This window comes from Homo sapiens, chromosome 11 (genome assembly GCF_000001405.40).
Source record: "Homo sapiens chromosome 11, GRCh38.p14 Primary Assembly".
NCBI classification, from domain to species: Eukaryota; Metazoa; Chordata; class Mammalia; order Primates; family Hominidae; genus Homo; species Homo sapiens.
Window position 1 is genome coordinate 3,818,881 of NC_000011.10, and position 22,957 is coordinate 3,841,837.

The following is a 22,957-nucleotide window of genomic DNA, read 5'->3' on the forward strand; positions in this document are numbered from 1 at the left end:
CATTGGGGATCACTTTCTTCTTGGAGGAGGGGACATTGTTGCTCTGTGGTAAAGAAGGCTCTTTGTGAATGCCAGGCCGGCAACTTTTGATATTATCCAGAGGGCAATTTTTATCAAGAGCTTTGGAAAGATTTTAGGCAGGAAAGGGACATGATCAGATTTGTGCTTTACATATTTATTTATTTAGAGACAGGATCTCACTCTGTCTCCCAGGCGGGAGTACAGTGACCTGATCTTGGCTCATTGCAGCCTTGACCTCCTGGGCTCAGGTGATTCCTCGCCTCAGCCTCAGCCTTGGGTAGCTGGGACTACAGGTGCATGCCACCATGCCTGGCTAATTCTTATATTTTTTTTGTAGAGATGGGGTTTTGCCATGTTGTGTAGGCTGGAGATTTGTGCTTCAGAAGACCACTCTAGCTTCTGAGTGGAGAACAGCTTTAAGGTCAGGGGCAAGAGTAGGGTATAAGGAGGCTGGTGCAGTAGCTCATGCTCCTGGGGGAACCAGAGCCAAGATGCGGACTGTGAGCGTAGAGAGGAGGGATGGAGTCTAGAGAGGTGTAGAAAGTGGGATTGACAGCAAATGGAGTTTTTGTGCAGTTGGCATGGGGCGGGGGACAGTACGGTAGCTAGAGAAGGCATCTATAATGTGGGGGGACTTTTACCTGAGGCCAAAGGAATGAATCTTATGGTGAAATCTGAGGTGCCGTGCAAGGGGATTTTGGGGAACCCTGCTTTATACCATATGAGTTTCTGATCTACTGTCCTATCAGAAAGGGCTTATCCTCCCGTCTCTCAGTACTCTTAGCTCTGGGCACATGGGGAAGTTTGGGGTGAGCTGTGTACCCAGTTTCTCATAGCTCCTGATGTTGCTTGTTGCTGGTGCAGTCGATGAGTGGGGAACTTGTGTGCTGGAATGGGGCTGGCGGTAGGAGTACATGTACCTGATTGTGTGTATGTGTCTGTGTGTATATGTGCGTGTGTGTGTACATGATGGAAGAGACAGTCCCTGCTCTTAGAATCCCACCCCCATCCCTAATCTGAGAGAAGCTCATGAAGACAGGACCAGCAGCCACAATGCCCTAACTCTCTCTTCCTCCTGAGGCCTTCCCCAAACTCTGTATCATTTCTCCCCAGTACCTGTTCCCAACAGTGGTCAGGGTTCAGGGCCCTTGAATCCTTTAGGCTCTCCCAGTCAAGCTTTAGATGGTGGTCCTGTTTTCCTTAAAGTAGCTGAGACTGGGGAGTAGTTTTCAGATTGAATATTCCAGGAAGCAGAGGCAATGCTCTGACTAACTCAACTCAGAGTAACAGCAAGGCAGAAAAATCAAGTAAGGAGACTTGGAGGTTCCTGCGTCTCTCCCATAAGCAGACCTTCCCATGCTCTGTGGCCATGTAGCTCACAGCGTTTTTGCATTCTTTACAGGAAATTTTGTCTTCTGAAAGCCATCACTTATTGTACTTAACTGCATGCCAGATACTGCAGATGTTTTATACACGTTATATTTAGAATTCATATGGCTTGGCATGTTGGCTCACGCCTGTAATCCCAGCACTTTGGCAGGTGAATCACTTAAGGTCAGGAGTTCAAGACCAGCCTGGCCAACATGGTGAAACCCCATCTCTACTAAAAATACAAAAATTAGAGGCCAGGCGTCTGTAATCCCAGCTACTCGGGAGACTGAGGCAGGAGAATTGCTTGAACCTGGGAGGTGGAGTTTGCAATGAGTTGAGACCGCACCATTGCACTCCAGCCTAGGCAACAAGAGTGAAACTCCATCTCAAAAAAAAAAAGAAAAATTAGCTGCGTGTGGTGGCACCTCTAGTCCCAGCTACTCAGCAGGCTGAAGCACGAGAATCACTTGAACCTGGGAGGCGGAGGTTGCAATGAGCCAAGATTATGCCACTGTACTCCAGCCTGGGTGACAGAGCGAGACCCTGTCTCAAATAAATAAATAAATAAAGAGAATTCATAAACACCCTGCAAGGTAGGTGGTGTTATACCCATTTTACCAATGAGGAAATTGGAGCTCAGAGAGGTGAAGTGACTTGCTCAAGGTCACCCAGCTAATAAAGGCAGAGCTGGGATGCAGACTCAGCTTTGTGCAGTTCCTGAGCCTCTATGCTGCCCCTTCACATTACTCAGAGTGCATGTCTGAGCCTGGTCTCAAGCTATGATATCTCAAGCTATGGTATCTCAAGCTATGGCTTTGAGACCAGCATCTTCTCTCCCAGAGCTCTACATTTAGCTTCCTCTGACAGTGCAGAAGGGAATCCATCTCCTTTTTTGTGGAGGCTGTGAAGCCCCATGGCTAGTCTTGCCCCAGGCCTACCTGTGGGCTGCCCTATGAGCCGCCTGCAGCATTGCTCACCTTCTCAGCAGTCTGGCATCTCATTGAAAGAAAGGAATGATGGTCCTTAAGAACTCCACTTCCGAAGACTGTCCCTCCATAGTTAGAGCAAATTCATTCCCTTGCTGGGTTGCTGGGCTCTGGCACTGCGCTGGCCCTCGTTGGAGGTCTGCAGAAGTGCACAGAAAGTGTGGGCAATGGACTGGCCATTTCCACAGTTTTGGAAACTTTTAAAAATCCATATTCTTGCTGGGGGTGGTGGCTCACGCCTGTAATCCCAGCACTTTGGGAGGCCGAGGCAGGCAGATCACCAGAGGTCAGGAGTTCTGAGACGAGCCTGCCCAACATGGTGAAACCCCATCTCTACTAAAAATACAAAATTAGCTGGGCGTGGCAGCAGGCGCCTGTAATCCCAGTTACTTGGGAGGCTGAGGCAGGAGAATTGCTTGACCGCAGGAAGCGGAGGTTGCAGTGAGCCAAAATTGCGCCACTGCACTCCAACCTGAGCAACACAGCGAGACTCCATCTCAAAAAAAAAAAAATGCATATTCTGGCTTGGCGTGGTGGCTTATGCCTGTAATCCCAGCAGTTTGAGAGGCCGAGGGGGGTGGATTGTTTGAGTCCAGGAGTTTTAGACCAGCCTGGGCAACATGGCAAAACCCTGTTGCTACTAAAAAAAAAAAAAAATCCAAAAAATTAGCCAGGCATGGTGGTGGCTACTTGGGAGGCTAAGGTGGGAGAATCACCTGAGCCCAGAAAGTAGAGGCTGCAGTGAGCCGAGATCGGGCTATGGCACTCCAGCCTGGGCAACCGAAGTGAGACCCTGTCTCCAAAAACAAAAGCAAAAACAAAACGGCCGGGCGCAGTGGCTCACGTCTGTAATTCCAGCACTTTGGGAGGCCGAGGTGGGCGGATCACGAGGTCAGGAGATTGAGACCATCCTGGCTAACACGGTGAAACCCCGTCTCTACTAAAAATACAAAAAATTAGCCGGGCGTGGTGACGGGCGCCTGTAGTCCCAGCTACTCGGGAGGCTGAGGCAGGAGAATGGCGTGAACCCGGGAGGCGGAGCTTGCAGTGAGCCAAGATCGCGCCACTGCACTCCAGCCTAGGCGACAGTGTGAGACTCCGTCTCAAAAAGAGAAAAAAAAGCAGATTCTGGCCAAGCGAGGTGGCTCATGCCTGTAGTGCCAGCACTTTGGGAGGCCAAGGCAGATGGATAGCTTAAACCCAGGAGTTTGAGACCAGCATGGGACACATGACGAAACCCTGTCTCTACAAAAATTAGCCTGCTACTCAGGAGGCTGAAGTGAGAGGATCACCTGAGCCCAGGAGGTCAAGGCTGCAGTGAGTCATGATCATGCTATTGCACTCCAGCCTAGGCGACAGAGTGAGACCCTGTCTCAAAAAGGGGGAAAACAAAATTAAAAAATTAAAAAATGCAGATCCTCAGGTTCCAAGCCTTCTGCATTTTCAAACAATTCCCCCAGTGAGTTGTATGGGTAATTAAAGTTTGTGAAGCACTGCTCTAGGCCCTGGAGTCTAAGAGAGCCTCTTCCCATCTTTGGCTTTCCTGTCCCCATCTAAACCCTTGTTCAGTCATCCCCCATCCTTTCACCTCTCAAACAAGCAAGACACCAGTCCCTGCAGCTGTGTATTATCTTCTCCTTTTTCCTTAAGGACTGAAGCTTCAATAGGAGTTCCAGGCATTAAGATGGATGGTGGAGATGCACAAGAACATGGTCATTTCCTTAGACTACCCCAGGTTAGGAGCACCCACTTTCTTTTTTCTTTTCTTTTTTTTTTTTTTTTTTTTTTTTTTTTTTGAGACAGAGTCTCACTCTGTTGCCCAAGCTGGAGTGCAGTGGCACAATCTCGGCTCACTGCAAGCTCCGCTTCCCAGGTTCACACAGTTCTTCTGATCAGCCTCCTGAGTAGCTGGGACTACGGGCGCTGGCCACCACGCCTGGCTAATTTTTTTTTTTTAAGTAGGGACAGAGTTTTGCCATGTTGGCCAGGCTGGTCTTTAACTCCTGACCTCGGGTGATCCACCCACCTCGGCCTCCCAAAGTGCTGGGATTACAGATGTGAGCCATCGTGCCCAGCCCACCCACTTTGTTAATCATGATCAGAGCAGGGGTGCCATTCTACCACCTTGGCACACCTGCCTAGAGGAGTGAGTGGCGCTGGGAGCAGACTGAGGAACATCTTAGCTGAGCAGTGAATCCAGCACTGTTCTAAGGAAGCTCAGATGGTCTGTGACTCATCCCTGTCCTCTGGACTGAATCTGAGGCCTTGGAACTCACCCAGGGTCTTAGTGGAGGCACAGCTCTGAGCTATGGGTGTAGAGCATCTGAACCCATCTACACATTGACCAAACACAGGCAGGTTCCAGTCTGCGGGGGAGATGGAGAAGGTGCCACCATGCTGCTGCACAAATCCCAGGATAGCTGGGGAATGAGAATCCAGCACTTTGGGCCTAGGACCTGGAAGGAGAGGTCTTTTGGGAGAGGTATGGGGACATCTGAAGGAGGACTTCTTGGAAGGGGAGGGGCTGGAGCAGAGGCAAGAGTGATTTTGTCAGATGGAGAGAAGGTTCTCCACATGGGCGGGGCTGGCAGAGGCAGATGCCCAGACAGGTCACAACTCTCTAGGTGCCCAATTACCTGCCCTCGGTGAGCTCAGCCATCGGCGGGGAGGTGCCCCAGCGCTACGTGTGGCGTTTCTGCATCGGCCTGCACTCGGCGCCTCGCTTCTTGGTGGCCTTCGCCTACTGGAACCACTACCTCAGCTGCACCTCCCCGTGTTCCTGCTATCGCCCGCTCTGCCGCCTCAACTTCGGCCTCAATGTCGTGGAGAACCTCGCGTTGCTAGTGCTCACTTATGTCTCCTCCTCCGAGGACTTCAGTGGGTGCCTGGATGAGGGAGGAGTGGGGAAGTGTTCCCTGAGGGGACGGGCCTGCCCCTACCACATTCGGACCTTCCTACTTCGTGGTGTGGGCACTCCCTGCAATGTGGCTCCCAATCCTCTTTCCCTCCAGCCATCCACGAAAATGCTTTCATTGTGTTCATTGCCTCATCCCTCGGGCACATGCTCCTCACCTGCATTCTCTGGCGGTTGACCAAGAAGCACACAGTAAGTCAGGAGGTACGGTCTATCCCTAGCGGGGGCTCCAAGGCAGCCCAGAAGAAAATCAAGGACATCTGTCCTCAGGATTCGGGTAATGGTGAGGTGGGAACTGAGTTCTAATGGGAACCCTGGCAGAGGGGTGCTGGGGTTGGGGCTGGGGCTTGGGAACAAACTGAGGGTGGTTGGTCAGAATCTAGGACTATAGCACTGTGTTTGGGTAGTGTGGGAGACTGGAGAATAGAAGAGATGGAGGCTGCAAATGGGGATAGAATGAGGAGTCGCATCTAGGCGGCAGTGAGTTAGGAACAGTGTCAGAGGACTGGTCTGTCATAATTCCAGCGCCCCACCCATGTACATGGGTTTCTTTTCCCCCACAGTATTTGGAGGTGGGGTTGGTGGGTGACTCCATGTAACTTTCATACTCCATCCCCCTGAAGTGGAAGCGGCAGGAATACCACTGCTCCTCGGCCCATCACTCCCCCAGAGGCAGGGACGTGAACACATAGTCGTCATTCTTGCTGCCCCTGCCTGTGCTCCCTTCCATGACCGCTAGTGGGAGCCAAGGGAGATAAGGCCCAGCCCTTAGGAGTTAGGGCTGAGAGGGGAGCCCACGCTCTCATACCCAGCAAGCTGCAGAGTGATCAGACAGCCCATTCCCTAGGATCGCAAGTCCTACAGCTGGAAACAGCGGCTCTTCATCATCAACTTCATCTCCTTCTTCTCGGCGCTGGCTGTCTACTTTCGGCACAACATGTATTGTGAGGCTGGAGGTGAGGCCAGGATAGGATCCACAGGCGGTCATGAGTGGCTGCGGGGCAGCAATGATGTTTTTGATAATGGGCAATGGTCTTGGGGACTGGCTGCCATTGTGTTCTCTGTGGCAGACCAATGGTGGTGTGATTTATCAAGAGGCCTCTGAGCGGGTAGCTGGAAGTTCACCATGTCCTGTTCCTTGTGTCCTCACAACAGTGTACACCATCTTTGCCATCCTGGAGTACACTGTTGTCTTAACCAACATGGCGTTCCACATGACGGCCTGGTGGGACTTCGGGAACAAGGAGCTGCTCATAACCTCTCAGCCTGAGGAAAAGCGATTCTGAACCCTTCAGTCCTGCTTGGGAGGACGCAGCCCACTGCCCAGAAACAAGAAACACGATACCATTCTGGCCTTCCCCACCCCACATCCTCTCTTGGCCTTACTGAAGATGGGGGAAGGGTAAGAAGGAAGGGTGTAGGCCAAGGCTCACCCCAGTGCTGCTGGCTTCTCCTCTCCACCCCTCATATGGGCGTGGGGTCCTCAAACATCACCTTTACCTGAGAGGCCCCAAGAAGCTGAGCTGGCAGAGAGCTCCACCATTTGGTGCTAAAAAAAAAAACGTCCTGAGGTTCATGACCACCATCCAGTTTCTGGCCTTTACACAGTCACCTTTCACTGAGGTCAGGAGCCCCTGAGCAGTGGCTGCTCCCTGACAACCACAGCCATTTCTCTGCACGGGGGTCATTCATAGGACTAATGTATTTCATGATCTACTGTGCACATCCAGGCCTGTGGCCACAGTCCCCTGCTAAAGTTGCTCAGGTGTTCTAGTCCTGACTTCACCTTTTTGATTTGGTGTGTGCCCTAGGGTATGTACCCTTCCCCATCTGAGCCTCGGTGTGTCCATGTGTCTGGCGGGGGATGGGTGGACTGTATGATTTCCAAGGACTCTACCAGTCAGTGGTTCTGATGTCATCGGGTGGAGGTGGTGTTCTATACCTAAAGGATGACCTGCTCCAGAAACAGCACCAGCACAGCATGTATTTTCTTCTCTTCTGAAAGTTCTGGCTTGTAGACCCCTCCCCTCCTTTGCAAAGGTATGGGATAGAGGGGTCAGATGCAGATCTCTACTGTAAAATGGGCTCCCTGGTATCTCCTGTCTTCCCTACTGCTCCAAACCCTAAATTTTGGTTGTACATTTTATTTGAAAGGAAAATAAATTTTTTTTTTGGGCCAACAGTTGCCTAGGCTTGCTAGTCTTGGGGCTCATCTTGTTTGATAGGAACTGGGAGAGAAACAGGCTCAAGAATGGGGAGGGAGTAAGTCCACGGCAGGGTATGATTCCTAGCAGAACCCCCCAGTCCCCCTTAGGTCTGGAGTCTCCTAAAGCTGGTCTAAGCCTTTATTTTGGTGAGCAGGAGTGAGTGAGCTATCTGTAATGATTCTAGGACTGCAAGCTAGGGTACCTGGAAGTCTTCAGTTGAGACAGAGACCTGGGTTCAAATTCCAACTCTTGTTGTTAAAGCTGTCCTCTTGGGGATGTGAGGTACAGCTGTCACATGCATGACTGTGGGAGCATCTGCCTTTAGACTAATGGCTCTGAACCTCTCCCTTTCTGAGCCCTAAGATCAAGAAGTCTTTCCTCAGGTTTTGTGTCTGAGTCCACTACAGCATCTGTGACTGGGCCCCAGAGCAAGACTGCCCCCTCCAAGGGAGCCTAGAGCTTTGTTAGGGAAATTGAGGGGTGAGGGGACCACAATGAAGCCTATTGTCTACTAGAAGAAACAAAAGGCTCCCAGTCTCTGGGGAGCCCTAGCCCATGCCCACCCGCTAATGCCCAGCACACAGGGAGGAGCCGGGGCCACTGGAGACAGGAGGTTTTATTGATGCTGATGGGGGTAGGAAAGGTCCCCAGAAGCATGGGGGCTGAGTCAGTCAGCAAATGCGTAAGGCCTAGGCACAGAGGAGCAGGTTAGGGCACATTCACCTTCTCAGGATTCTGTGGCTCCCTCATTGGAGAAGGGAGAGAGCATCTTGGGGGCGCAATTCCAAGAGCAGCGAGGGCAGAGGTTAGAGATGGCTGAGAGCCCCTAACCTGAGGCGGCACCACAATAGGCAGCAACAACTGTGTGGAAAGCTGGATGAACTGGTCAGTAGCGGAAAATGGGAGGGGGCACTGGGTTGGCCTCTTGGGGAGGGGTCCAACCTTGGCTTGGATGAGCTCATGAGAATACCCAGTGTTCCCAAGCAGAGGGGGGCAGAGCCCAAAGCCCCTTTCTCTGCAGGCCTCCTTAAGGAGAAAAAGGCACTCAGAGAAAAAGGCATTCAGGGAACCCCCTGGAAAGGGGTGCCAGAATTAGTCCTTAAGGCACAGCTGAGGCGGACAAGGCACCAAGGCACAACTGGTGGGGGGAGGGCAGGGGCAGCCTCCAAGCCAAGTGCCAGGGTCACAAGAGGATGCAGGACCGCCCACGCTTGATCGGCGTGGGGTTGAGCACAGCCCGGACAGCCTCGGCGAACACTTCCTTGACACCATCCTGTTGCAGGGCTGAGCATTCGAGGTAGCGCACAGCGTGGATCTGCTTGGCCAGTGCCTGGCCCTGCTGCGGTGTGATGGGCGCCTGGCCCTGCTCCTTGAGGCGCCGTAGGGTGTCAGGCTGGGCTCTCAGGTCCTTCTTGGTGCCCACCAGCAGGATGGGCACATCAGGGCAGTGGTGGCACACCTCTGGATGCCACTTGTGCCGCACGTTCTCATAGGACGGCGGACTGGCAATGGAGAAACAGATGACGAAAACGTTGGTCTGAGGGTAGGAGAGTGTACGGAGGCGGTCATACTCCTCCTGGCCCGCAGTGTCCCACAGGTTCAGGTTCACTGTGCGCCCGTCAACTGCGCTCTGCGCGCTGTAATTGTCGAACACGGTGGGGATGTACTCTTTGGGGAAAGCGTTAGTTGTGTAGCAGATGAGCAGGCACGTCTTGCCCACAGCCCCATCACCCACCACCACGCACTTGATGCTCTGCATCGTGGGTGCAGTTGCTGTAGTGGAGGCAGTGCCTCCTCTCTCTTCTGGACCCCTCTGGCTGCAGTGACCTGTGGACAGATGAAAGGGGACATTCTTGGTTAGGGAGGCCTCTGCCTATTGGGAAGAAAAGATGGGGGCACACAAAGGGAAACCGGCTCCTGTTCCCTTAACCTGACACTATCCCAAAGTCCCATCAAGACGGTCATCAGAAAGACACACAATGAAAGGCCCTGAGGCCAAGCAAAGAGGCAGTATAATGTGGTAGAAAGCACATAAACTCTGGCGCCAGACAAACTAAGGTCAAATCCTGATTTTGCTATTTCCTAGCTGTGTAACCCTGAAAAAATTGCTTAACCTCTGTATGCCTAAGTTTTCTTACCAGTAAAATGAGGATAAAATAATATCTACCTCACTGGGTCATTGTGAGCATTATATAATACATGTAAAGCATTTAAAACAGTGCCTCGTCCACAAGTATTAGCTATTTTTTTTTTTTTTTTTTTGAGACAGAGTCTCACTCTGTCACCCAGGCTGGAGTGCAGTGGCGTCATCTCGGCTTACTGCAAGCTCCGCCTCCTGGGTTCACGCCATTCTGCCTCAGCCTCTCGAGTAGCTGGGACTACAGGCACCCACCACCACGCCCGGCTAATTTTTTGTATTTTTAGTAGAGATGGGGTTTCACCGTGTTGGCCAGGATGGTCTCGATCTCCTGACCTCGTGATCCGCCCGCCTTGGCCTCCTAAAGTGCTGGGATTACAGGCGTGAGCCACTGCGCCTGGCCAGTATTAGCTATTTTTTTTTTCCAGGCTATACAGACACAAAAGGAGAGTGCACAAATTTAGGGATCTACTAGATCCTCTACTAAATATGGACCCTTTCCACCAGGAGACTGGAAAGTGTTTTGGCACAGGACAGCTGTCCCAGGTCACTCTGTGATGCAGCCATAAGTAGAACCTCTCTCAACTCAGGGCCCACCCTGCCCTCTCCAAACCTGGTATCTTGGCTACTGAGTACAAACCCAAAGGCACAGTTAAGAAACCTGCTGAGTAAGGGGCTCAATTCTTTAGAGAGCTGCCCTATCCCAATCCAGGGTATTCTGGCAATGGGGAAATTTTTTTTTTTTTTTTTTTTTGAGATGGAGTCTCACTCTGTCGTCCAGGCTGGAGTGCAGTGGCGTGATCTCAGCTCACTGCAACCTCCGCCTCCTGGGTTCAAGTGTCTCCTGCCTCAGCCTCCCGAGTGGCTGGGACTACAGGCAGGTGCCACTGCATCCGGCTAATTTTTATATTTTTAGTAGAGATGGAGTTTCGCCGTGTTAGCCATGCTGGTCTCAAGCTCCTGACCTCAGGTGATCTACCTGCCTCAGCCTTCCAAAGTGCTGGGATTACAGGCGTGAACCACCACACCTGGCCACCCCATCATTCTTGTAAGTACTGAAAACCCTATCTGGCCATGTACACTCAGATTGCCAATTCAATGCAGGGGAATACTGGAGATTCAGTTGGACCTGGGATTTGGACTGGGGTCTGGGTATGTTATGATGAATGAGGTAGAGGCTGAGGCTCCCAGACATTAGTATCTTCTCTCAAGGCCCTTGGTGGGGTGGAGCAAATTTTTTTCTTTTTTGAGACGGAGTCTTGCTCTGTCGCCCAGGCTGGAGTGTAGTGGCGCAATCTTGACTCACTGCAACCTCCACCTCCCGGGTTCAAGCGATTCTCCTGCCTCACCCTCCCGAGTGGCTGGGATTACAGGCGCATGCCACCACGTCCAGCTAATTTTTGTATTTTTAGTAGAGACGGGGTTTCACCATGTTAGTCAGGCTAGTCTTGAACTCCTGACCTTGTGATCTGCCCGCCTTGGCCTTCCAAAAAGTGCTGGGATTACAGGCATGAGCCACCATGCCCGGCCTGGAGCAAATCTTTCAGGCCCAACTAGGAAGGATGAAGTCAAGAGTAAGACAAAAACTTGACTTTCCCCTCAATCTTCTGTCCATTTCCTGAGATCCTGGCATGTGCCTCTGAAAGATTTTAGAGACTTCCAGACTCTTGGATAGAAAATACCATCATTAAGAACATAGATGCTAGAGTAAGACTCGCAGGTATTCTAATCACAGCTCCACCAACTAGTTATATGTGATCTTGGCAATATATTTGTTCCCTGAGCCTCAATTTTCTCATCTGTAAAATGGGGATAATCTTGCCTATTGCATTACAATTGCTCAGAATATGAAATGAGGCCAGGCACGGTGACTCATGCCTGTAATCTTAGCACTTTGGGAGAATGAGGCAGGTAGATCGCTTGAGCCCAGGAGTTTGAGACTAGCCTGGGCAACATGGCAAAACCCTGACTCTACAAAAAATGAAAAAATTACCAGGGTGTGGTGGTACACACCTGTAGTCCCAGCTACTCGGGAGGCTGAGGTGGGAGCATCACTTGATCCCAGGGTGGTCAAGGCTGCAGTGGGCTATGATCACACCACTGCACTCCAGCCTGTGCGACAGAGCAAGACCCTGTCTCAAAAAAAAAAAAATAAAAAGTAAGAGTTAATAATGTATAGAAGATGTCCAGCATGAGGTATGGCACATAGCAAGTGCCCAATAAATGGACTGCTGTATTTATGAGTGGGGTAAGTATGAGGAGTCCCAGCTCCAGCCAACATCTGGTTACCTCTGCAGGTCACAGGGCCTCGGGGAGATGAACTGCTTTTCTGAGTTCTGGAACACAGCTTCCAGAAACCCTGTGATTATTTACACTGCTATGGCAAGGATCCTTCTCTCATCAGCTACTTCCTCTTGGCCATGGGGGACTCTTGGTGGTCAATATGTGACTTCCTTTCCCTGACTGTCTCCCACAACCAGGGCCTGCTCCCTGAGAGGGGGCAGCCCTGTTTTAAACACAACCAAATCCCTGAGTATTCCTTATCCCTGGCTCCACCCAAGCACCATCAACACTAGCCCATTTTCTCCATTTCACTTGCTATACTGCAAGGCTGCACCCTGGTCTGGGAACCCCTTACCCCCCCAGCCTGGGCTCTCACCACTGGTTCAGAAGCTTCAAAAATCAATGACAAGTGGGGAAGAAAATCCCCACTGGGAAGTGGAAAAGAAACTTTCGTCATGTGGGGGCTGCAAAGGACCCAGGGCTTGGTCCCACCTCCCTCCCAGGCTACAGTTTGCCTTGGAATCAGCTGGGAGAGGAATGGTTTCACTCTATGAAGTTGTGTCTCTGGTTCACATTAAAAAATATTTCCATCCTATTTGCATGAATGAGAGAGAGTGTGTGTGTGTGTTTGTGCGCGTGCACGTGTGCATGCAACGTCAGGACATTCAGATAGAGACCCTCAGACAGTGGGTCAGGGAAGGGCATAAGGACCCTCTAGGCCAGTGGAGAGTCAAATAGAGACCTCAGACTGGAAGTTGAGAGACCTAAGTTCTAACCCCAGCTCTGCTGACTCACTATAACCAAGCATGAGGCATTTACGCTTGCTGGGCCTCAGTTTTCCTATCCAGGAATTAGAGATTAAAATGGTTGTTACAAGAGCACTAGGTGGATGAACTAAGACTTAAAGCTCCTTGGAGGCAGGGGGCATTATTTGTGCCCAGCGGATTACGTGGGAAGCCTTGACATTCAAAGCAGAACTCCTGGGCCTGTAATCTTCAGTTCCACACAGAGCAGGAGAGTGGGTGTTGACAGTATGACTGAAAAGCCCAGCACTGGGCTGGCCCAGGCAGGAAGGCAAGGAGGGAACTCCGGCTGGCTGTCACAAGGCCCAAGAGACTGGAAGTACAGCTCTCTAAAGAGGTGGTTATCAACTAGCAATCAGTAAATCAGCTCTCAAAGGAGAGGGGAAGGACAGCGTAGCTTCCGGGCTGGGAAGGGAACGAGGACCGACACTGGAAAAGGATGATGAGTATGGTAGTGTCCAGAAACAAGCAGAGCAAAGGCAGTGTGGTATAGGGCCAAGAGTACTGGATACCTGACTCTGATGTCTTGAGTTTATCTGCCGACCTTGACCCTTGATAAAAAAGCCCTCATATGGTATAAGCCTTTATAGGTCACATGTTATTATGTCATTTGACCTTTATAACAACCTGTTAGTACTATGCCTATTCTACAGATGAGGAAACAAATTCAGAACAGTAAAAGTAACTCAACATCACACAGCTAGTTAGTGTGGGAGCCAGAACACAAACCCAGTTTTGTGACCCAAAGTCCTGTGTTTTCCTTGGTGCATCATACAGTCTTCAAGTTACCCCTTACCAGCTAACTGTGTGACCTTGATCAGGTAAGTTACTGCCCTTCCTGGAGCCTCTGTTTCTTTATCTGTACAGTAGAAGTAATAATAGTACCCCTCCCAGCCTCAAGGGCAGCATCAAGGAACCTGACCATGGGAATGAATACACTTTGTAAACTGAAGTGCTGTACACACAGGAGGTGACAGGAGCAAAGCCTTTCATCCCAGAAGGCAGGAAGCACTGAGTATGCCTGTATCTGTGGTAGGGGATCAGCCCAGTCCTCCCTACTCAGGTCTAGTTCAGACCTTTATCCTCTCTCCCAAAACAACTCTTCTTTCTGAAATCCTCTGGCCTGAACTGGGTTGAATAAGTTACCATAGCCCATTTCAGGAGGGCATATAGAGTCTAAACTGTGCCAAACAGGAAGAAGGGATGTCAGTGCTGCAGGACACCAAACCAGGAGTGTGACCTATCTGGAGCGGGGTTCAACAATGACTTATTCACTAAGTGGCTTTTTCAAAAGAATCATTAAGCCCAGCTCAGTGGTGCACCTGCAGTCCCAGCTACTAGGGAGGCTGGGCCCAGGAGTGAAGGGTTGTAGTGTGTACACTAGTCAAGGTTATCGTCCCTGTGAGTAGCCACTGCACTCCAGCCTGAGCAACACAGCAAGACCCCATGTCTCAAAAAAAAAAAAAGTTATTTAGTAAATCAATGGTTGCCAATCTGTTTTGTTTTGTTTTTTCTTTTGGAGCAAGGTCTTGTTCTGTTGCCCAGGCTGAAATGCAGTGGTGCCATCACAGCTCACTGTAGTCTCAACCTCCCAGGCTCAAGGCATCCTACCTCAGCCTCCTGAGTAGCTGGGACTACAGGCAGGCACCACCACACCTGGCTAATTTTTGTATTTTTAATGCATCTTTTTGTTTGTTTGTAGAGACAGGGTCTTGCCATGTTGCCCAGGCTGGTCTTGAACTCCTGGTCTCAAGTGATCCTCCTGACTAGCCCTCCCAAAGTGCTGGGATTATGGGCGTGGGCCACCATGCCTGGCCAGATCTGTATGTTATTAGACAAATTACAATGACTTATTCTGGCTTTTTAGTCCCAATTCAGATCATGCCTGGTCCCTCATACTGGCATTCAGAGTTCTTCACAATTTGATAAGGGATATTAGAGTTACGTAGACTTGGGTTTGAATCCTAGTTCTGCCTCTTACCAGCTGTGTGACCCTGAGCTTCTGATGATTTGCCTCTCTAAGCTTCAATTTCCTTATCTTTCAAATGCAGTGGCAACGTACAGTACCTACCACATAGCACTGTTATAAGGACTAAGTGCATTAATGTATAATATGTGCACAATGTAGGTACTTTGCAAGTGTGAGTTCCCAGCTCCCTGTTCCAGAGGGATTTTCAATGTCCTCTGCAAACAAGCCAGGATCATTCTTGCCTCTGAACTTTTACTCTTTGTTTTTCCCTCTGCTGCCATTCCCTCTCCCTTCTCTAATCTTCCTTACTCCTTAAGGCCTAACTTAAGTCTCACAGTTGCATAAGGTTACTGAATTCTTCTTTGGATATCCATTGCATGGCTACCTGTCGCCCAGGTTAGAGTGCAGTGTCGCGATCTCAGCTCACTGCAATCTCCACCTCCCGGGTTCAAGTGATTCTCCTGCCTCAGCCTCCTGAGTTATTGGGATTACATGCATGTGCCATCATGCCCAGCTAATTTTTGTATTTTTAGTAGAGACAGGATTTCATCATGTTGGCCAGGCTGGTCTTGAACACCTGGCCTCAAGTGATCCACCTGCCTTGGCCTCTGAAAGTGCTGGGATTACAGGAGTAAGCCACTGCACCCATGGCCACCCCTTTTAACCCTGCTTTGGCTCTGTGTGATTCTCCTTTTCCAACAGTCATACGTAAGTTTCCCAGCTGTACATGCCCTTCAGTACTGAAGCCTTGGCTTCTCTGGACTAAATGACAAAAAAAAACCTCTAAGTATAGGGCTAGGCACACAGGACTGTACAACCATTGCCTTTTGATCTGCTTGTACCAGCCCTCATCACTGAGATATGGAGAGACTTCTCTGAAGCCCAGTATCGGACACTCCCTGCCCACCCCCCAACAGACAAGACTGCAATGCTGAATCTCATCGGACAGCAATGACAGGCAAAAGCTATGCCTGAAATAGGCAAAAATCTCTCTTCCCAGTACCAGGCTGACCTGGCTCCGGCAGGAAGTATAGCCCATGGGGGTCTAACCCTATCTGAATGTGGTCCCTGGAGCCCGGCTTGTACCCAGTGGGGCCTGGCCTTGGGGTGTGGCCCAGGCAGGCCCAGAATGGGGGAGGGAAAGGAAGCAGCCTGATTGCCAGATCTCTGTGGCTGTTACAGCAGGGGAAGTGTCCCAACTGGGAGTGGGGGAGGGGAGGAACGGACTCTTAAAAGATAGGCGAGTATGGAGGTGATGGGAACTTACCTCAGCCTTCTATAACCTGCCTCCCTAACATGGGGCTCCCTTTCTGCAGCCCTCCCTGAACCTCATTATAACTACAATCCATCTCTGGCCATTCCAATCCTGATCCTCTACAAAGGGGCCTCCATATTCTCTTCCGTAAAATACACCAAGTAGTAATATGGAACCATGCACCATTGCTGCCTCTTCCAGGAAAGCGTAAATTATCCAAGTCAGAAGTGACTTATCCTATCCAAAGTCTGGTCCCTGTCTCTCTCACAGGCTTGGAGAGGCTGATGTGAATCTTATCTCTTGTTATTAGAATGGGAGTGTCTAGAGGGCAAGGTCCTGGTTGACTGGACCTTGCTGAGCACCCTAAGCTGAGCACACCATGTAGTAGCTGTCAGTAAATGACTGAATGAAGTCGATGCAATCATGTCTTTGCATATGGGAGTTCCTCTTCCTGGAATGCGACTCACCCCCCTTCAGATCCTTCCTGTCCTTCAGGCCCAGTACTGTTCCCCAGCTTCTCCAGGACATCACAGCAACCCCCTCTTCTGCCTTACCTTTCCCAGCATTGACCGTACTTTTCATTGTGCTGAACTAACTGGATGCTTCAGGGGGAGGGTAGTCTGACCTTCTGTTTATTTCCAGAAGCCCAGGGAAGGGCTGAGCAAAAGCTGTAGAATGACATACCCCTCCTCCCCCATCAATCCACAGACTCTGATGCTGGGAACAAGGAAGAACCTCTAGGACCAGAAGACACAAGACATAAGTAACCAACTTCTTTCTCATTCACCCTGAAGAGCCCAAAGTTGGGGTAATAAACACATAAGCTATACTGTCTTGTCTTCAACTGGAAGGGTGAGAGGTGAAGCTGGCAGATCTAGCTCAGAGATGATGAGGAAGATGGGAAGGAAAAGTGGTCCCGACAGGCTACAGACTGGGAATATCCGAGGACCCTTGGTCAAAGACATGGCAAGGGACAGGGGCACTGTTGGAAACACTTCCAAAGCTCTACAAGTTTGTTTGTTTGTTTGTTTTGAAGGGAGGAATAGAGGAGAGGTGATATAAAGAGGCTCAAAGGGGCTGCAGCTGGCTGCAGCTGGGCTGGGAGGAGGAAGCTGGGGGAGACATGAGGTCAGTGTGGGACTGGGACCAGGCCAAGGGCTGAGTCTCTTTCTTCCCTTTCTCCCCATCAGCAGGGAAGAACCCAAGAGAGCCCAGTTCCTAGCCTTAAAAAAAAAAAAAAAATCCCCCGGGTGCCGTGGCTCACGTCTGTAATCCCAGCACTTTGGGAGGCCAAGGCAGGCAGACCACTTGAGATCAGGAGTTCGAAACCAGCCTGGCCAACATGGTGAAACCCCGTCTCTACTAAAAATACAAAAATTAGCTGGGCGTAGTGGTGGGATTACGCCTGTAATCCCAGCTACTCAGGAGGCTGAGGGAGGACAATCACTTGAACCCAGGAGGCAGAGGTTGCAGTGAGCAGAGATCATGCTACTGCATTCCAGCCTGGGCCACAGAGCAAGACTCCATCTCCAAAAAAAAAAAAAAAAGAAAGAAAAAATCCATGCTGGAGGACTCTCCACCTCTTGTCATTCATCCTTCAGCCTTTGGAGAGGATCCTACATTGCAGCAGCAGGTAGGAAAAGAGAAGAGTTGATGCCACCCACTAGGAAACGAGACAGTGGTAGCTGGGAAGGCTGGGGGCAGTCTAGGACCCTTTCACTAAGTCCTAGTTCCCAACCTTCTTCCCTCACTGTCCCAGCACCCTAAGTGTTCCATAAAAGGTGAGCCTCAGCTGGGCATGGTGGCTCACATCTGTAATCCCAGCACTTTGGGAGGCTGAGGCTGGCAGATCACTTGAGGTCAGGAATTCGAGACCAGCCTGGCCAGCATGGTGAAACCCCATCTCTACTAAAAAATACAAAAAAAATTAGCTGGGCCTGGTGGTGCATGCCGGTAGTCCCCGCTACCTGGGAGGCTGACACAGGAGAATGGCTTGAACCCGGGAGGTGGAGGTTGTGGTGAGCTGAGATCGCGCCATTGCACTCCAGCCTGGGTGACAGAGCAAGACTCCATCTCAAAAAAAAAAAAAAAAAAAAAAAAAAAAAGCTGAGCCTCAGGACCAGGACAGCTCTGGCTGGGGGAGCCAAGGAAGCTGCCCCCTCCCCCACGCAGCACAGAGGAAGGGTGCACACTGGCTTCCTCCTCCCCGCCTAGCAGCAGCTCAGCAGTCCCTGGGCCCCACCAAAGGCCTGTGAAGTGGCACTTCCTTTGCCTTTGCTAATTTCACATGAGGCTGTACAGAAGTGCCATCCTGCAAATCCTGGCACCCCCACCTGAAAATACCCACAGAGAGACCCAGGGCTGCCCAGTCCCTTTAGCCCCGCCCGAGGCCTGAGGGGGTTTCCACAAGGGAAAATAACACCAGGGAGGAAACTCCGGCATCTATTTTCCACTGTCAGTGAGGCAGAGCTGGAGTAGGAGACAGGGTACTCCCCCATCTTACTACCCCCTGGCAAAATCCCCAACATTCTCTGCCTTCTTATCTCTCAAGCTCTAACAGTCCTTGTGCTTGGGGAAAGGGCAGTACTATCCCTGGACAGATATGTATGTACAGACTACTCGGACCTGTCAAATTGAGGCTGGTAAGACACAAGGGCCCAGAGTGAGGGGCACTGCTATGAGCAGTCTCTTGGGGGAGGAAGAGTCAGAGCCATGATGTTCACTGTTGCCTTTGGAGGTACTGATATGCAACTCCTTAATGCTAAAATAGAGCCAAGAGAAACCAAGTTGACCAGGTAGCAAATCTACGACAAGGATCCGGATCTTCTAGCCTCCACCCTTATGCTACTTCTACAAAGGAGAGAAGGTGAGGATTCTAACTCTGGCCTGAGAATGGGCCATCTCTTTAACCTCATTCAGGAGAACGCTACCATGGTTTATTCCTTCAGAAAATGGGCCAAAGGGTGGGTTGACTTACATCTGAGCCTTTTTGCTTCCAAGTTCCCAGGCTCTCATGCCTAGCCCATCCTGGTGCATTCATGATTTAGCACTGACATTACTCAATAGCCAGCCACTCTGGCCCTGCCCTAGCTGAGAAGCTCCTCCTCTGGCCTCTAGCTCCTGGAGAGATGCCCTCCCCCCATATGAGATGAGGACAAAAGAGGAAGCTGGACCCTGGACAGGAAAACCAGTCTGATCTGGGGAGGTGGCCCAGGCTTTGTCTTTGGTTTCCCTCCTCAGCTCTTGTCACGGACCCCTACTGACCTCACCACTAATGGGTCTACAGTATATAGAAGGAGTCTTCAGTGTGGGCCTGAGCCCCCTTCTTCATGTCACAACCTTGACCATACCTGTTTAGCCAAGACTTCAGCGGCAGCCTCCTAGGTTGTAGCCACCACCTCCCTTTACCCCCCAATATTTTCCCATTAAAATCTCTCCCGCCCTGGTCACATTTTTTCCAATGATGCCTTTTTTGCAATTAGCTCAAACTTCCAATGGGGCCAGATCTCACCTGGGAGAATCCCTGTCTCACCCATCTTGTCTTTACCATCAGAGCCCTGTGGGTTTGCTCAGTTACGCAGAATACTAAAGTAACTACTGGTTTGCCAGCCTAGGAACTGGGACTCCTGGGGTTTTTATTAAGCTGTGATGCTGGGAAAGTGCCTTGTATGCACATCCTTCTCTAACCTGGGCTCTTATGTAGGTCCCTGGGATTTCTTCCCGGACCCAAACTTCTGTACCTCCAAGAAATGGGAAGAGAGACAAGTGGTTGGAAGGGCAGGACTGGAAGAAGAACAATTCATGGGAGAGGGACGACTGTGACATGGGAAGATGACAGAATGGGGAACAGGGAGAGCCCTTAAATTTAGCTGTAGCACTTACTCCCCTCTACTTCTCTTTTTTTCTAGTGGAGAGAAATGAATACAGATGACTAGAGGAGGTAGACAGGAGCAAGATCCTCAGATGCACCCCAAAAGCTTGAGGATGGAGCTCTAGAGTGGAAACAAGAGCCTCCATAGCCAGGATGGACTGAAGTTAAATTTGGGAGGAATTCCTGAGAAGGAATAGGGTCCTAGGTGAGATGGGGAGTATTAAGGATGCCTGAAGGCAGAGGGGTCAGTAGAACTCCAGAGGGCTTCCTGGTCACTAAGGCCCTGATGCAGATCAGGGCATGCGGGTACCCAGCCTAGGCAGGCCCCAGAAGGTAGCAGGAAAGGAGCAGACACTTTTGCCTCCGCCGCTTCTTAAGTCCGAAGTTAGACCAGCTGCAGTCTTTCCTCCAGAATCCTGCATTTGCCTCCTCCCTTTATTTCCATCACACCCAAGCTGGTCCCATTCTTTCCACCAGGTGATGCTGGAACTAGTAGGTAATGGAGTCAGGGACCTTCAGGCTGTCTTCCGGCTTCTAGGCCTGGCCTCTTGGTCAAGCACCACGGGTTGGGGTGATTTTGATTTCCCACGGCCTCTCTTACAAGTCTTATTCCTGTGTCACCCTACCCTGACTGCTACAAACGGCTTCCTCCTGCCTAACCACAACCTCACTCACTGCAGGTTCCCTTCATTCTGCTGGCTTCCCTTGCTCTGGGCCCTCTCAAGGCTGAGGGCAGTTATTTTGTCTGTAAGAGATAAAGATGTAGTCACACAGACACGCGCGCGCGAACACACACACACACACACACACACACACACACACACACAGGCTTTCCATCTCTTTAATCCATCTCTAAGAGATGAAGATGTAGATACACAGACACGCGCGTGCGAACACACACGCAAACACACACACACACACACACACACACAGGCTTTCCAGCTCTTTAATCCGTCTCTATCACTGGGAGGCTGCAGACTGCCTCTCCAAGCTAGGGAGGTTTGAAAAGACTCTAGAACTCACTAAGTCTTCAACAACTGATTCCAAAGCTGGAGATAAGTGGGTGGGAGGGAAGGATACAGAGAGGGTGACAGGCTGAGGGTTCAAAAGGAATGAGGGGTGATGGAAGAAACCAGGAGGTGCATGTGTGTGGGTGCCAGAGCTGGGAAGGGAAGGGATGGGGCAGGTTGCAGAGGACCAAGACGAACATGGGGCAGGGTAGGTGAAGACAGGTCAAGGCCTAGGTATGACCGTATGTTTGGAGGAAAAGAGACTGGAAGGGATGAGAAGAGAGTGATGGCGGATTTGTGGGTAGAAACTAAAGAAGGTGTGGAGGGAGACGACAGGAGCATGTGTATAATTCAGGGACTAAGAATGAAGAGGAACACTAGGAGATGGTTCTCAATTGTCCCCAAAAGACACAACAAAAACTTGTCAGGGACTATCAGTACCTCTGAATGAGAGTCCTTCCACTTCCAGTTACAGGGCAAGACCAAGTTACTCCCAAAAGAGCAAGGCCAGGCTCTGGTCAGCTAGGAACAGCGTCTGCTCACTAAATACCTACTGCTTGGCTCCAGGTAAGGTCGGGACTCAGGAAAACAGACATACAGACAACGACTGGGGTCGGCGGGGCTCCCCCACCCAACCCGGGTCCTCCTGAGTGCAGAGGGCCTTGGGGCTGCAGACCGAGTGTGGGTCTGTATTAGCATCCATCTGACAGGGAGAGAGCTTTCGGAGGCCCCAGACACCGCCCCTCTCACCCCAAGTGTCACAACTGCCAGAGCAGAGGGAGCGCCTTTTCCAGCCCAGAAGCCCTCTCCCCTCACGCACTTCTCAACACCCCCCCCACCAACTTCTGAGGACACCCCACCTGCGTCCGATCTCCCAGCTCTGAGCTCTTCCACTTCAGAGACACTTATCTTGGAGCCCGGGACCCTCCGACCTCAGGGGTCCCTCTCGGCTCCCTAGAGGCGGTACAGCCGCCGGGAAGCCACCCTCGCCGAGCCTCCGCCGGCTCGCAGTGGCCCCGTTCCCGCCCCGCCCGGCCGGCCGCGCCCGCCCTACTTGGACTGAACCGAGAAGCTCCCGCCCGCGGCCTCCGCCAGCAAACTCATGAGCCGGCGCCCGCGCCGAGTCCTGGGCCGGCCGGGCTCTCCTCCCCCGGACCCCTACCCGCCAGCCCCGGCCGGGCCTCACCTGGTGCCCTCCCCGAGGCGGGGGAGCTGGGGGCGGCGGCAGCGGCTCCGGGCTCGAGAAGGAAGTGAGAGCGGGAGGCCGGAGGAAGTGGGGGGGGCGGGCCGGCGAGGCGGGGCGGGCCGGGGCGGGGCCCGACCAGGAAGTCCGAGGGCCGATCTCCCCCTCTCCAGCCCCGGCCCGCCCCCAGCCTCGCCCCCGGCCCAGTCCCGGGCTTGCCACGTTCCCCTCCCAGTCCGCTGCCCCTGCGGTCAGTAAGTCAGGCCTCCCAAGGTCAAGTCTCTCCGCCTCCTCCTGGCCACCCTACCCCTGGAGGCCCTACCCTGGGCGCTAGGCGTTCGTCCTCTTCCCCCCATCCCGCCCCCACCAGCCTCCGCGGGAAGATGCTGAGAAAGGCGCCCCTGGGCCTGGTCCCTTCAGTCAACCCCAGGGATAGAGTGGTGGCCGAGGCTGGGGCAGTCCCCGCCCCTGCCCTGAGCCCCGGGGGAGTGCGAGGTGGTGGTGATTCAGCAGTGGGAAGGCCCCAGACCCCTGGGGAGGGTGGGGAGACTCGGGGGGAAGAGGAGCTGGCGTCAGCACCCAAGGGAAAGACAAGATCAGCAGAGGCGCAGGCGGAGCCGCGGGCCCCAAAAACAGGATGTCGAGTCGTCATTCAGCACCGTGCAGCCCTGCGAGGCCTGGCTCTGGGGAGGGGGCGGGGCGGACGGAGGACTTGGGGCTTCCCTCGCCCCCTCGCCCCCTGTTCTGCTGGGGCGCGCAGCTGCTTGGGGCTGAAGAGCCGCACCCAGGCCTGAGGTCCAGCTTGGGCCCCGGCGACCCGCGGGTGGGCGGGCTCATGGGCGCCCTCTGGTGCTTCGCTCCCTGGCTTTGCGCTCGGAGCTTTGACTTGAGAATCCATATCCTTCGTTCAGCACAAAGTTTCTGAGCGCCTACCACGTGGAGAGAGC

At 52.0% G+C, this 22,957-nt stretch overlaps 2 protein-coding genes and 1 long non-coding RNA gene across 68 annotated transcripts in view, besides 5 other annotated features; 2 read left to right on the plus strand and 1 right to left on the minus strand.

The window, feature by feature from the left end:
- Positions 1-7,491, plus strand: part of PGAP2 (post-GPI attachment to proteins 2) — a 28,652-nt gene extending 21,161 nt beyond the window's left edge. For 14 of the 65 annotated variants that reach the window (NR_045923.2, NR_027016.3, XM_047426786.1 and 11 more), the window contains 4 exons: positions 5,003-5,255; positions 5,390-5,496; positions 6,140-6,248; positions 6,448-7,491. Coding sequence is in view for 50 of the 65 variants with exons in the window: in XM_047426786.1 (XP_047282742.1) it covers positions 5,003-5,255; positions 5,390-5,496; positions 6,140-6,248; positions 6,448-6,578 (600 nt within the window). In the remaining 15 variants the exon portion in view is untranslated. Of the gene's footprint in view, positions 1-4,028; positions 4,114-4,732; positions 4,861-5,002; positions 5,256-5,389; positions 5,576-5,855; positions 6,249-6,447 lie in introns of those variants that run through there. The other 51 variants (NM_001256235.2, XM_011519992.2, XM_011519996.2 and 48 more) reach the window with 19 other exon arrangements.
- Positions 1,079-1,270: a silencer, noted in NCBI's record as "fragment chr11:3841189-3841380 (GRCh37/hg19 assembly coordinates)". NCBI's record gives its function as "represses an EF-1alpha promoter that drives an FKBP-Casp9 reporter gene in an ReSE screen in phorbol 12-myristate 13-acetate-treated (for megakaryocytic differentiation) K562 erythroleukemia cells {active_cell/tissue: K562(+PMA)}" and the evidence as "EXISTENCE:reporter gene assay evidence [ECO:0000049][PMID:32094911]".
- RHOG (ras homolog family member G) lies at positions 8,098-22,079 on the minus strand. Of its 2 annotated transcripts, none has more exons than NM_001665.4 (2): positions 22,014-22,079; positions 8,098-9,326 (listed from the first exon to the last, which is right to left on the minus strand). In NM_001665.4, the coding sequence occupies exon 2, from the start codon at positions 9,256-9,258 to the stop codon at positions 8,683-8,685; it is 576 nt and encodes a 191-aa protein (NP_001656.2). In that variant the 5' UTR covers positions 9,259-9,326; positions 22,014-22,079; the 3' UTR covers positions 8,098-8,682. The 2 variants fall into 2 exon arrangements, with proteins under 2 accessions (NP_001656.2, XP_005252973.1); XM_005252916.3 differs by having other exon boundaries at positions 21,688-22,079.
- LOC124902619 (uncharacterized) lies at positions 18,397-19,395 on the plus strand. The gene is made up of 2 exons (XR_007062560.1): positions 18,397-18,812; positions 19,187-19,395. It is a non-coding gene; the product is annotated as an uncharacterized LOC124902619 (long non-coding RNA).
- Positions 20,220-20,419: an enhancer, noted in NCBI's record as "active region_4310". NCBI's record gives its function as "activates an Ori minimal core promoter by ATAC-STARR-seq in GM12878 lymphoblastoid cells {active_cell/tissue: GM12878}" and the evidence as "EXISTENCE:reporter gene assay evidence [ECO:0000049][PMID:35858748]".
- Positions 21,820-22,209: a silencer, noted in NCBI's record as "silent region_3085". NCBI's record gives its function as "represses an Ori minimal core promoter by ATAC-STARR-seq in GM12878 lymphoblastoid cells {active_cell/tissue: GM12878}" and the evidence as "EXISTENCE:reporter gene assay evidence [ECO:0000049][PMID:35858748]".
- Positions 22,260-22,309: a silencer, noted in NCBI's record as "silent region_3086". NCBI's record gives its function as "represses an Ori minimal core promoter by ATAC-STARR-seq in GM12878 lymphoblastoid cells {active_cell/tissue: GM12878}" and the evidence as "EXISTENCE:reporter gene assay evidence [ECO:0000049][PMID:35858748]".
- Positions 22,660-22,929: a silencer, noted in NCBI's record as "silent region_3087". NCBI's record gives its function as "represses an Ori minimal core promoter by ATAC-STARR-seq in GM12878 lymphoblastoid cells {active_cell/tissue: GM12878}" and the evidence as "EXISTENCE:reporter gene assay evidence [ECO:0000049][PMID:35858748]".

Excerpts from the sequence above, each read along its gene's own strand:
- RHOG (NM_001665.4), bottom strand. The coding sequence starts at position 9,258 with ATGCAGAGCATCAAGTGCGTGGTGGTGGGTGATGGGGCTGTGGGCAAG.